The sequence below is a fragment of the Homo sapiens genome, chromosome 12 (assembly GCF_000001405.40).
Source record: "Homo sapiens chromosome 12, GRCh38.p14 Primary Assembly".
Classification (NCBI taxonomy): Eukaryota; Metazoa; Chordata; class Mammalia; order Primates; family Hominidae; genus Homo; species Homo sapiens.
The window spans coordinates 6600729-6611857 of NC_000012.12; the positions used below are offsets into that span (position 1 = coordinate 6600729).

The 11129-nt window shown below is 52.7% G+C and overlaps 1 protein-coding gene and 1 long non-coding RNA gene across 4 annotated transcripts in view, besides 5 other annotated features; one reads left to right on the forward strand and one right to left on the reverse strand.

Moving 5' to 3' along the window:
* Nucleotides 1–6651, reverse strand: part of CHD4 (chromodomain helicase DNA binding protein 4) — a 37298-nt gene extending 30647 nt beyond the window's left edge. For 2 of the 3 annotated variants that reach the window (NM_001363606.2, NM_001273.5), the window contains exons 1-7: nt 6572–6651; nt 5546–5723; nt 1648–1769; nt 1232–1447; nt 920–1038; nt 561–802; nt 198–325 (exon numbers count right to left, since the gene is read on the reverse strand). In NM_001363606.2, coding sequence (NP_001350535.1) covers nt 198–325; nt 561–802; nt 920–1038; nt 1232–1447; nt 1648–1769; nt 5546–5645 — 927 coding nt within the window. In that variant the 5' untranslated portion in view covers nt 5646–5723; nt 6572–6651. Of the gene's footprint in view, nt 1–197; nt 326–560; nt 803–919; nt 1039–1231; nt 1448–1647; nt 1770–5545; nt 5724–6571 lie in introns of those variants that run through there. The other variant, NM_001297553.2, reaches the window with a different exon arrangement.
* LOC124902867 (uncharacterized) lies at nt 5158–8582 on the forward strand. The gene is made up of 2 exons (XR_007063193.1): nt 5158–5267; nt 8387–8582. It is a non-coding gene; the product is annotated as an uncharacterized LOC124902867 (long non-coding RNA).
* Nucleotides 5222–5381: an enhancer, noted in NCBI's record as "active region_5868". NCBI's record gives its function as "activates an Ori minimal core promoter by ATAC-STARR-seq in GM12878 lymphoblastoid cells {active_cell/tissue: GM12878}" and the evidence as "EXISTENCE:reporter gene assay evidence [ECO:0000049][PMID:35858748]".
* Nucleotides 5732–5781: a silencer, noted in NCBI's record as "silent region_4172". NCBI's record gives its function as "represses an Ori minimal core promoter by ATAC-STARR-seq in GM12878 lymphoblastoid cells {active_cell/tissue: GM12878}" and the evidence as "EXISTENCE:reporter gene assay evidence [ECO:0000049][PMID:35858748]".
* Nucleotides 5962–6021: a silencer, noted in NCBI's record as "silent region_4173". NCBI's record gives its function as "represses an Ori minimal core promoter by ATAC-STARR-seq in GM12878 lymphoblastoid cells {active_cell/tissue: GM12878}" and the evidence as "EXISTENCE:reporter gene assay evidence [ECO:0000049][PMID:35858748]".
* Nucleotides 6432–6531: a silencer, noted in NCBI's record as "silent region_4174". NCBI's record gives its function as "represses an Ori minimal core promoter by ATAC-STARR-seq in GM12878 lymphoblastoid cells {active_cell/tissue: GM12878}" and the evidence as "EXISTENCE:reporter gene assay evidence [ECO:0000049][PMID:35858748]".
* Nucleotides 7122–7271: an enhancer, noted in NCBI's record as "active region_5869". NCBI's record gives its function as "activates an Ori minimal core promoter by ATAC-STARR-seq in GM12878 lymphoblastoid cells {active_cell/tissue: GM12878}" and the evidence as "EXISTENCE:reporter gene assay evidence [ECO:0000049][PMID:35858748]".

Consider the following 11129-nt stretch of genomic DNA (forward strand, 5'->3'; position numbering starts at 1 on the left):
AGAGAGGGGAGTACTCTCTCACTGGGGACACCAGAATCCCAGCAAGCACCGTTATACAGGGAGCCTAGTCTCATCTTGTTCTGTGGGAAACGCCCCACATTCTTACGTGCCTACTATGAAGGACAGGTTCTGATAGAAGGTCACATCCTTTCTATTAGACATGGCACCCTCCCTAAAGCGATGGGCTGGGCTCTCACCGAGGATCTCTTACGCTTGGAACCAAAACCTCCCAGCTTGATTTTCAGGGGAGCTACTTTCTTGGGTTTAGGCTTCTTGGCATCAGGTACACGAGGGCTGCCCTTGGGCTTCCTCCGAGCATTGGGACCTAAAATCAGGATATATCCAAATATATACCACAAGACCAAAGATGGGGAAAATAAAATCTTCTCCACCTAAGCTTGCTTCCCCACATTCAGATTCCCAAATTTCCCTCCAAAATCCAAGACTCATTCCTCCCTCCTATCTCCTACCTTAGGGCTGACAGACCAGCATTCCCATGCTGTCTTTGACATCTTAAGCCCACACTAGACACCCCCACTCCCATTTGAACCCCATTTCACCTTTGCCCTCCTTGGTCTTGGCCTTGCGGATAGGCACCTCCACAGGGGGAGGTGGTGGTGCAACCTCAGTGGCTGTCACCATGCTCTCCACCACAGCTACCGCTGCTGCTGCCGCAGCTGCCACTGATGCCCCAGAACTGCCTTTGAAGGGGTTATTGGTACTGAACTCCCGCCATTTTGCACCCAAAACCATCATCATCTTGGAGACAGCAATCTTGGGATTTTTGGCAGCAATGAGGGGTCTGGTGGAGAAATGCACAAGAGCAGAGGGAAAGGTTTAAGAATAAAAAAAGAAAGAGAAGTAAGAAGAGAGAACAGAAAGATTCTCCTCCCCCTTCCCCAAACCCCTTCTGTTTTACCTGACAAACTGGCTGAAGGCCTTGTAGTTGGTGAGGGTTCGATAATCCTCCTCTGAGAACACGTGGTCAATGTCTTCCATGCCCCAGTCTTCCAGGAGCTGAGCAGATGATTTAGGCTCCTGCAGAAAGAGCAAAGTCAAGTAAGTACCTGCCACCTAGTGCCCACACTTGCTAAGCAAATTTGTGTGGAAAAATCAGAGTAACAGAGTTAAGAGGAAAAGAAGAGAAAGTGTTCTAAAGGGCAGTAAGGTGTCTAGGAAACAAAAAGACAAAAGTTTAACAGTACAAAGAAGAGGATGGAGGTCCAGGCACCTTTGAATCATCATCATCATCCTCCTCCTCCTCCTCCTCCTTCCGCTTGGATTTGCTCTTCTTCTCTTTCTTAGGTCCAAGCTTCTTCTTCTTCTTCTTGCCAGGAGTATAGTCGCTGCCCTCACTGTCTGAGCGCAGAGCCACCTCTTCCTCCTCCTCCACAAACTCTGGCCCCTCCCCAGAGCTGTCCCCCAGCTGCCGGCATAAGAGCATACGCTGGAGCAGGGCAAGGGGGGAAGAGGGAGACAGACACACACATGCTACACACATGCTGACCTCAGGACAGCCCTGAGGCTCATCCCCAGAACATGGCCCACCACTTCTGAGAAAGAAACAAATGCCCTCAGCCCTTCAACCCTTCTCAGAGCTCCTCCCTTCTTCCTCTGATTCCCCGTAACATTCAGTCACCCACTCACCTCCTTTTTTTGGCGCTTGCTCTTAGGGATTTTAGGGTCCCGAGGTTTCTTAGGCTTTTTCTTCTTCTTGAGCTTTGGAGTCTCTGTTTCTGACAAATCCTCTTCTGGGTCCTCTTCATTTTCTACATATATTTGGCAAAGAGTGGTAGGCAGGGAAAAGATCAATAGCAAAAGGTTAGGCCCTAATCCAGAGGCTTTAGACTTTATTCCCCACCTCTTGTCCCAGATTCCTCTGAAGAGAACTGCTATACTCTGTACAGGAGGAAGCTGATACCCAGGACAAAAACAGACAAAGAGAGAGCTGTATATACCCGAAATAGGCCTGCCAGGCCAGACCAGGCCCACCTCGGGCAGCTGTCCAGACCCCTGCCTCCTCTCTCCCGTTCCTACCAGTCCTCTAGATGTTCACCAGTACAGCTGAACTGAGCTGCTCAGAGTTCACCAAGTAAGAGAACTAGATTTAGGCCTCCTGTAACTGGCCACCAAGTTATTCTATAAACCAGGGAATGAGAATGAAAGATCCTACTCAGAAGGCAAAAACTATAGAATATACCTTCCCAGAACAGGATCAGTTCAGGGGTCTCGGAAACCACACCCTTCTCTAACCACTTTGAAGTCATCACTGCTCAAATTAACCAGAACCTCCAAGTCCTAGGTTCAGGTGCCAGCTCAATCTCATGCCCACTTCTAAAATACAATTTCCTTTCCCCATCTCCAACCCTAATGTTCCTCCTCAGCTTCTCCTGGGTCAGCAGCCTCTTCTCCCTAGGGGCCCGAATCAGCCCAGCTGTCACCATCTCCCCTACACCCGCCCCCCAGCAAGCCTCCTCCCATCTGGCTCCACCTCCTCCCCTGGCTGGAGGCACACACAAAGCCTGGGTAAGACTGAAAGCTCCTGGGCAAGGATAGGTGGGAAGGGACACAGAGAAGACCAGGAGGCAGCTTCCTTTGTAACAGACATTCACACTGGCTCCGACTCCCTCCTCCCTCCTCTCTCCCTCTTCCCAAGCCACCCCCGCCCAAAGGGGGGTGGGTAGAGAAAGGAGTGGAGAGAAGAAGGGAGTGCCTCACCCACTGAGGAGAGGGAAAATGGCTCCTGACCGCAGAAGCCAGCCCAGGGCACCCAGCTGCCAACATAGGACAGACAGGAAGTGGCAGGGGAGGGGGTGGGTTTGAGAGAGGTGGGGTGGCGGGGGGGGAGACTGCCCTCATAGAAGCCTCCCCAAATTACCTGGCCCCAGGTCCAAATGCCACCTACTCTGGGATGACAACAGTTCACAAGAGCCCACCCTAACATCCTAAGCAAGGAAACCCAAGGAAAGCGAGACAAACATGAAGGTAATACTAAGAGAAGAACTCGATCACTCCCTCAATCATAATTATTTTTTCAATCATCAGAGCTGAGATTTAACAAAGGCTCAGTGGACTTGTGGTCAGCGCATACAACCTTCTCCCCAAATTTCTGATACCCAAAAGATTTAGTTTGAGGAATGGAGGCCCACAAGAAGTCTCTGAAGCTCAGCTTCCTCACCACTCCCACCCAGATTCCTATCCAACATATGGGAATGTCTGCACAAAAAAACAGAGCAGGACCTAGACAGTGGTAGAAGAGAATATCCCAATCGGGTGCAATGGCTCATGCCTGTAATCGCAGCACTCTGGGAGGCTGAGGCGGGCAGATCATTTGAGGTCAGTTCGAAACCAGCTTGGCCAACATGGTGAAACCCTGTCTCTACTAAAAAAACAAAAATTAGCCAGGCATGGTGGTGGGTGCCTGTAATCCCAGCTACTCAGGAGGCTGAGGCAGGAGAATCGCTTGAGCCCGGGAGGCGGAGGTTGCAGTGAGCCAAGATCGCACACTGCACTCCAACCTTGGCGACAGAGTGAGACCCCATCTCAAAAATAAAAAAGAAAATAATATCCCTCCTTCAATCCCTGACATGTTCTTAGCTCTTAACCCCCAAAATTAGCCCTAAAATGTCTCTGGCTCCCCACTTCCTGAGCTAGACAGATACTAGGGAATGAGACATTAGGCTGGACAAAGCACCATCAGCCTCCCTGCTTCTCAGCCCAGAATAAGACCAGGCACAAGAACGCCCCTCCCATTCCCCCTTGGGAATGCAACATCAGCCTGGATTTCACCAGAAAGAATCATTTTCTTAAGGACTTTTCCCCACCAATCCCCAAGTCAACCCCCAACCCCCATCAGCTACATCTCACCACCCCCATAAAAGCTGGAAGTGGAGACAAAGACAACCCATGGAGGCAAAGGGGACATCCTTCCATGCACATGGAGCCCCCCAAACTTCTCAGGCAAATAATATGCTGAAATGGCAAACCGCAAACTTACTGAGATATAGAGAAGATTTAGGAAAGGGACAGGAATGGGGTGTGGCAAGTGGAAAAAGTGGGTCATGCTACAGCTCAGGACAGAGTTCACAGCTCCTGCGCAGCTCCCGGTCAACATGAAAGGCAGCCCCAGCCCAAGTGGCCAATGGGAGGCCAAGACGTGGAACCCAGAATGTTTAGGCAGCACTACTGTTTCTCATGCCCCTCTCAGAAGGACAGGGTCCCCTTACCAGCACCACAACTCCGCCCTCACCTTGGGCAAGGGCATGGAAATCTGCCCCCTACTCTACACAAGGATGAAACCAAGTTTCTCATCCCAACAGCCCAGACTCCATGACAACACTAACCCCTCTCCTAAATGGCCTCAGGTTGAAGTGAAGAATTCCAACTTAAAAAGTGCCAAATGTGAAAGCATCTCTCCCAGACCACCTCAACTTCCACTGAAGCTAAGAAGAGAGAAGGCAGAAGTGAATGATGCTGGATGAGAAACAAAAACAGGATCAGCAGGCTCCAGAATGAGAAGAAAACTAGAAGCAGAAGGAATGAAGAAATGACATGTAGAAAAAAAAATTAAACTAGAAAACATGAAGGTCAAGGAGATGAGTAGGTGACACAGCTAGGGGCTCTGAAAAAGGACACAGAAGAGAAAGACATCTGCTTAGGGGCATGACATCAACCATCATTTGAGGATAGACAACAGTTCCCCCAATCAGACAGGGTGGTTACAACCATACGGGTTTGGCCAGTTCATGAAGCCACCCCAAAACACAGATAGCGTAACCCCTAGCACACCTACACAGACACTTCACACTGCCAGCCTAAACCGCAGGCTACCTCATAGAGACAGAAGCCACTAGGAAAAAAGCCAAAACTATGTCCACTCACCAGGAGGAGGAGTGCCCTCCCTTCTTTTGCCCCTCTTCACTAGGCTATTACATCCTCCCCGAGCCCCCATCACTTCCCCACTCAAAACATTCCAGCAATCTGCCTGGCTGCTTTAAGCACTCCAGATCCTGCTGAGGAGCGCGATTCAAACTTCACACAGTTCAGACAGCACAGAAAACCGGTAACCGATCAGAAGCTAAAAATAATCAGATAGAGTGTAACCAGCACTCCCTCTTTCCTTTCCACAGCAGCAACCACAGGATCCTACTAGCACAGATGCCCGGCTGGTCTTTCAAACAGAATCCTCAACGCCCCCCTCCACCACCACCACCACAAGCCTCCAGGGGTCCCAGCTACCTGCATTCCTCCGAGGACCCACATACCAGGTAATGCCTGCCAGCCCAGAGAGCTCCCTCAACTGGGAACTGCAGAGCATTCCTCAAGACAGAGTGCAGCAAGCTGGCATCTCCGTGCCCAGGAGGCACATGGCTTCCACCCCCCTCACACCAGAGCTCCGCAGAAGGGAACCACTCCCTTCGGATACCCTCCACCTCCGGCTCTGCACAGAGACAGCGGAGCAACACAGCCCTGCCTCACCAGAGGAGTCACTCGGGAGAGCCCCAGATGTCTCCTTCCCGCCATGGGCCCTTGGGGAAGATGTTACCTGGGTGGGGTGGGGGCAGGCTGTTGTTCAAAAGTGCATCCATATCCTCCTCCTCACTGCCCGCCGAGCAGGGGGACGGGGAGCCCAGGCCCGACGCCATCCCCTTCCGCTCCCGGCCAGGGAATTGGCCCAGCTGCTCCTGCCGGCGGCCTGAGGACCTCTACACTGGCCCGAGTCACTGTGCGGGGGAGGGGGGAGAAACACAGAACAGTCAGTGACGCGCACTGTCCCCCTCCCCCACACCCACCCGCTCTTTCCGCCCCCCACCCCAGCCACCCTAGCAGGGCACCCGAACCGCTCAGGCTGAACTTAGTTCCACACTCCTCGGGGGCAGCCCGGAAGCCGGCTCCCCGGCAGGCGCCCCCACGGAGCGAGGGAGCGACGCCTCCGAGGGCAGGCTGGTGCAAGCGCGGGGAGGGGAGACGCGGGGCTGGACCGAGCGGGGTGTGACGGGGGAGGGGGTCCGAGTGGCAGCGGCGCGGGGGGGCCAGGGGAGGCCGCAGGCGGCGAGGCGCTCGGGGACACAAGGTCACTTGGGGGTGGGGGGGCGCCTCCCTGCGCCCGGGGAGGGGCCAGTCCCCAGACAGGGCAGCTCTCCAAAGGCTGTCCTCTGGGACAACTCAGGTTCTCCTCAAGAGCTGCGGGGACGAGGGGGCGTGGAGGCTCGGGCGCTGCGGGGGGCCGGAGGCAGGGACGCGGGGGGCGAAAGCGTCCCACCGGGAAGGGGGCCGGGCCACGTGTCCCGGGGGGCAAGTGATCAAAGGGCGAGGGGGTGGGCGCCGGGCATTGTGGGAGACCAAGCCGGAGGCGGGGGGTCGCGGGGAGCAAGACTCCGGCAGGGTTAGGGCGGGGGCTGGGGAGGAGGCCGGGCGCCCTGCAGGGCCAGGAAAGGAAGGGTCGGCTCCTCTGGGCAAGGGGCGGTCCGCGGGTCCGGAGACGCCTGAGGAAGGGGCGGGTGACGGGATGACCCTCGGGGCTGGTAGGGCCGTGAGGGGCGTCTCTTTGGGAACCCCGCGCTCTCCTCACCCCGGAGCCGCCGCAGGTCGCGCTGGGTCCGGCTCGGTGTCACTCCCGCTCCGGCTCCTCCTCGCCGCGGCCGAAGGGGGGAAAATGGCTCCGGCTCCAGCGTCGCCTCTTAAAGGGCCTGAAACACCGGCCGGGAAATCCCACCGCACAGGCCCCGCCCCCCCACGGACAGCCCATAATAACCTCAACCAACTCCAACCCCCCCCTTCCACTACCGCCACCCTCCTCCCCAGGTCTCCCGGGCAACCCCCGCCCCCTCGTCGCTCAGGCAACCACTGGCCACGCCCCCTTCGCAGCGGGCGCGCGCGCGTCACCTGGGCAACCGCCCACCTCCTGGCCATCCCATAATACACACGGACACCCCCCCCCCCAACACACACACACACACACACACACACACACACACACACACACACAACACACACACACCCTGCCCCCCCACATTTCATACACATATGCCAGAGACTGCTGACATCTCAAAATATTGCAGACCTTTTGCAACTAACCCTCTTAGACATCCCATAATAGACATCCTTTGCCAACTTCTTCTTCACTCTTGGACCTAATGCTAACATCCCATAATAATTCATCACCCCTCCCTCCCCATGGCCATCCCATAATAAGCACCCCTCGCAGCACTTATGCCTCATATCCCATAATATTCAGCCCCATCCCCCACAGACATCCCATAATAACCATCCTTCATCCACCCCCAGTTTGATATCCCATAATAGTCAGAAACTCACCCCCCCCCATACTACAACAACGGACACTCGGCCTCCTCCCACACACATCCCGTAATAATCAGTCTCCCACTTTCTATACTGACATCCCATAATAACTAACCCCCTAGAGCTGCCCTCAGTCCCTGCAGGCCAGGGTCTAGAGGCTCACATCACCCCCAGCCTTCCCTCTTCTAGCTCCACAGCCTATAGTAAGTACCCCTCCTCTATCAAAAAGATAACCCATAATGATCAACAGCCCTACTGTCGCCCCACAGATGGACATCTAATCTCTTTTCCTCTAACACTGGAAAGCTATCCCATAATAATTTTACTCTCCTACCCACATCCTGACATCCCATAATAATTGCAAGGAGCCCGTGGTCAACCAAACATACCATAATACTCCCAACACAACCCAGTGTCACATCCCATAATGCTTCATCTCCACTCTACCACCCCTATACCCTTCGAGCCAGGCATCCCATAATATTCATATTCTTCCCACCCCCATCTCCAGGCGCTGTCAGTCTATTCTAACACCCAGAGCAGGGAGGGCCAGGCAGGCTACCCACGCTTCCTTGTCCCCGCCCCCACTTGCACACACCTTAATCCCTTTCTGGGCCAAAGTAGTATCCTGGCAAAAAGCCTCCTGATGTCTGGGACCCCAGCTTCCCTCATACCATCATTTCCAGACACTCGGGGGCTGGGAGCCCACCTAGGGCCCCACCCAGTCCCACCAAAATCTAGGTATTTTCCAGATGCTTACCTCCAGCTCCTAAGTTTTGAGGAACACCAACCAACCAAAATACCAAGCTGACAGATGAAACATTTACATGAAGTCTAATTCACCCTACAGCATCCCATAATAATTACCAACTCCCATCCAAAGACTATCTCTCAACATTCTAGCAATCCTCCCCCTCACCACATCCCCAGGTCAGGGATCTTTCACCAACACCCCCAGGCCATTCCTGGGGATGGACATCCCATCACGATGTGAACTCAGGTTCCTGCTCTATACACACCAAGAGTGAAGGCCTGCCCTCCCGCTACTCACCACTACTCATGTTCATTCAACCTGTGTTGACAGAGTACCTAGCAAGGCCGAGCTCCGCACCATGGAGAATCAAGGAAGACCAGGGGGCCTCCCTTCAAAAAGCATAAGCAACCAAGCAAACTATGATACACGACAGAATGGTGCCAAGGGAGAACTGCTGAGCACTGTTTCCCAATTTCCTGTTACAGAAAATAAAATCCCACTGGTTCCAAGAGAGAACATATCCCAATAAGATTTATCGTGGTCCTTCTAGAGGCTGGAAGATGATACTTAAAGGATTTATGGGTATAGACCATAGTCAACATGATCTCCTATCTGTTCCCTACTTACTAGGGGATTTTTCTTGGAAAGCAATGTTCATCCATCCAGCATTCCTAATACTGAAATCCTATAATATGTTCATGTCCTTCCTTCTTAAGAGACTCCACAATATACCAGCATTGTTTCCCTCATTCTTGAACACCAAATCCTGCTTATCCTCAATGTCCCATATTTTTCAGGCACTTTCCCATTTTATATCCTGAAGTCTCATAGTATCTCCAATGGCCTCCATCCTCATCTTGTTGGGGCCACATTCTCCACCTCAAAAAAAAAAAAATCTTTAGTTGTATAATGTTCCCCATCTTCCCCTGCCTGTATAGAAGTCAATATTCCAGCGGGGCATGGTGGCTCATGCCTGTAATCCCAGCACTTTGGGAGGCCAAGGCAGGTGGATCACAAGGTCAGGAGTTCAAGACCAGCCTGGCCAAAATGGTGAAACCCCGTCTCTACTAAACATACAAAAATTAGCCTGACATGGTGGCACGTGCCTGTAATCCTAGCTACTCAAGGGCTGAGGCAGGAGAATTGCTTGAACCCAGGAGGTAGAGGTTGCAGGGAGCTGAGATTGCACCACTGCACTACAGCCTGGGCAACAGAGCAAGACTCTGCCTCAGAAAAAAAAAAAAAAAAAAAGAAGTCAGCAGTCCAGGAAACCTTCTACATTGAATTATGCCCCAAGGTAGCCCTCCAGCGTATACCATCTCCTTCCCTTATTATGCATACCCTCCAGCCACCCTATGGACCCAATCCTAGAAGCTGAAATAACCGAATTTTTTTTGTTTTGTTTTTTGTTTTTTTGAGAGACAGGGTCTCAGTGGCGCAATCACAGCTCACTGCAACCTCAACCTCCTGGGCTCAAGTGATCATCCCACCTCAGCCTCCCACCTGTAGCTGGAACCACGGGCATACACCACCACACCCAGCTAATTTTTAAATTTATTGTAGAGACGGGGTTTCACTATGTTGCCAGGCTGATCTTGAACTTCTGGACTCAAGTGATCTTCCCACCTCAGGAAAGAGCCTAATTTTTTTTTTTTTTTTTTTTTTTGAGACGGAGTTTCGCTCTTGTTGCCCAGGCTGGAGTGCCATGGCGCGATCTCGGCTCACTGCAACCTCAGCCTCCCAGGTTCAAGTGATTTTCCTGCCTCAGCCTCCCGGGTAGCTGGGATTACAGGCATGTGCCACCATGCCCGGCTAATTTTGTATTTTTAGTAGAGACGGGGTTTCTCCATATTGGTCAGGCTGGTCTCGAACGCCCAAACTCAGGTGATCCGCCCGCCTCGGCCTCCCAAAGTGCTGGGATTACAGGCGTGAGCCACTGCGCCTGGCCAGGAAAGAGCCCAATCTTAAAACCCTTTGGCCCTCAGAAAACCTAACCCATCAGCCTGTCACTTTTCCCTTTTCCTGACTCCCAGAGATTCAGGACCTGAGTGAAAACCAATGTCCCAGCACCACTGCCTTGCTGCCCTAACCCCAGGCCAAGGATAATGTCTCCCTCTGCTCATGTACCTTTTTTGCATGGGTCCAAGACCTATGGAAGTGGGACGAGTTGAAAAGAAACTTGGACTTCCTTGTAGAAAGGGCCCTTTACTAACCAGTAGTGAGTGGGATGAACCTCATGCCATCTCTGCATTACCCTTCTCATCTCATTTTCCTAGAGGAAGGCCTGGCCAGATGGCTCTCCCCTTCTCTAGGATCCAAGGGACTGGAGAACTGGTACAAAGAAATGAGTTCAGGGAAGGCAAGAGCTTGCCTCAGGGAATTACAATCCCCCTGCTCCTGAGCAGAGCACCAGGGATGCAGACAAGTCTTCCGCTAGCTCCTGGCTGACTCTGTAGACCCACTAGCATTCCACATTTAACTCTCCTCATCTTAGGACTGGAGTTTTTGGCATCAAAGACATCAGGTCCTGTCAAAAGCTCCCTGTCACCTTTGAAGTAGGTGTTTTCTTTTTCCAACCTTCCCTTCAGCTCCCTGGCCCACCCTCTTGCTGCACTCATTGTGGCAAGCGGGCCATTCTCCCCCGTTCTGCAAGGCTTCCAGTTTCCCTCGTTAAATGCTCTCGACATCAAGACTGGGCCCCATTTACTTACCCAAGCCCTCTCCCATACTTACTCTGAGTACTAAGAATGAAACTTGTGTTCCACAATGGGGGGTGAGGAGGCAGCTCTTTTCAGATACCATGATGTGGGGACACCTCCTTTCAGGGAAGTTTCTCCTTCCTACAGAGGGCTGCCAGATGCCTATTGTGCGCTCTTCTACCCTCATTTCTCCAGGGGATCCAGCCTGTCTCTGGGCCTCAAATTCCCTTCTGCAATATCTCCATCTGCCCATACCCATACTCTCATTTCCACAGTGATCTGTCCATATAAACCAGTAAGAGAGCGTTTGGGTAGTCACAGCCTCCTGCCTGTGACTAAAAATATCCACATTTTATTTATCCATATATCCTTTG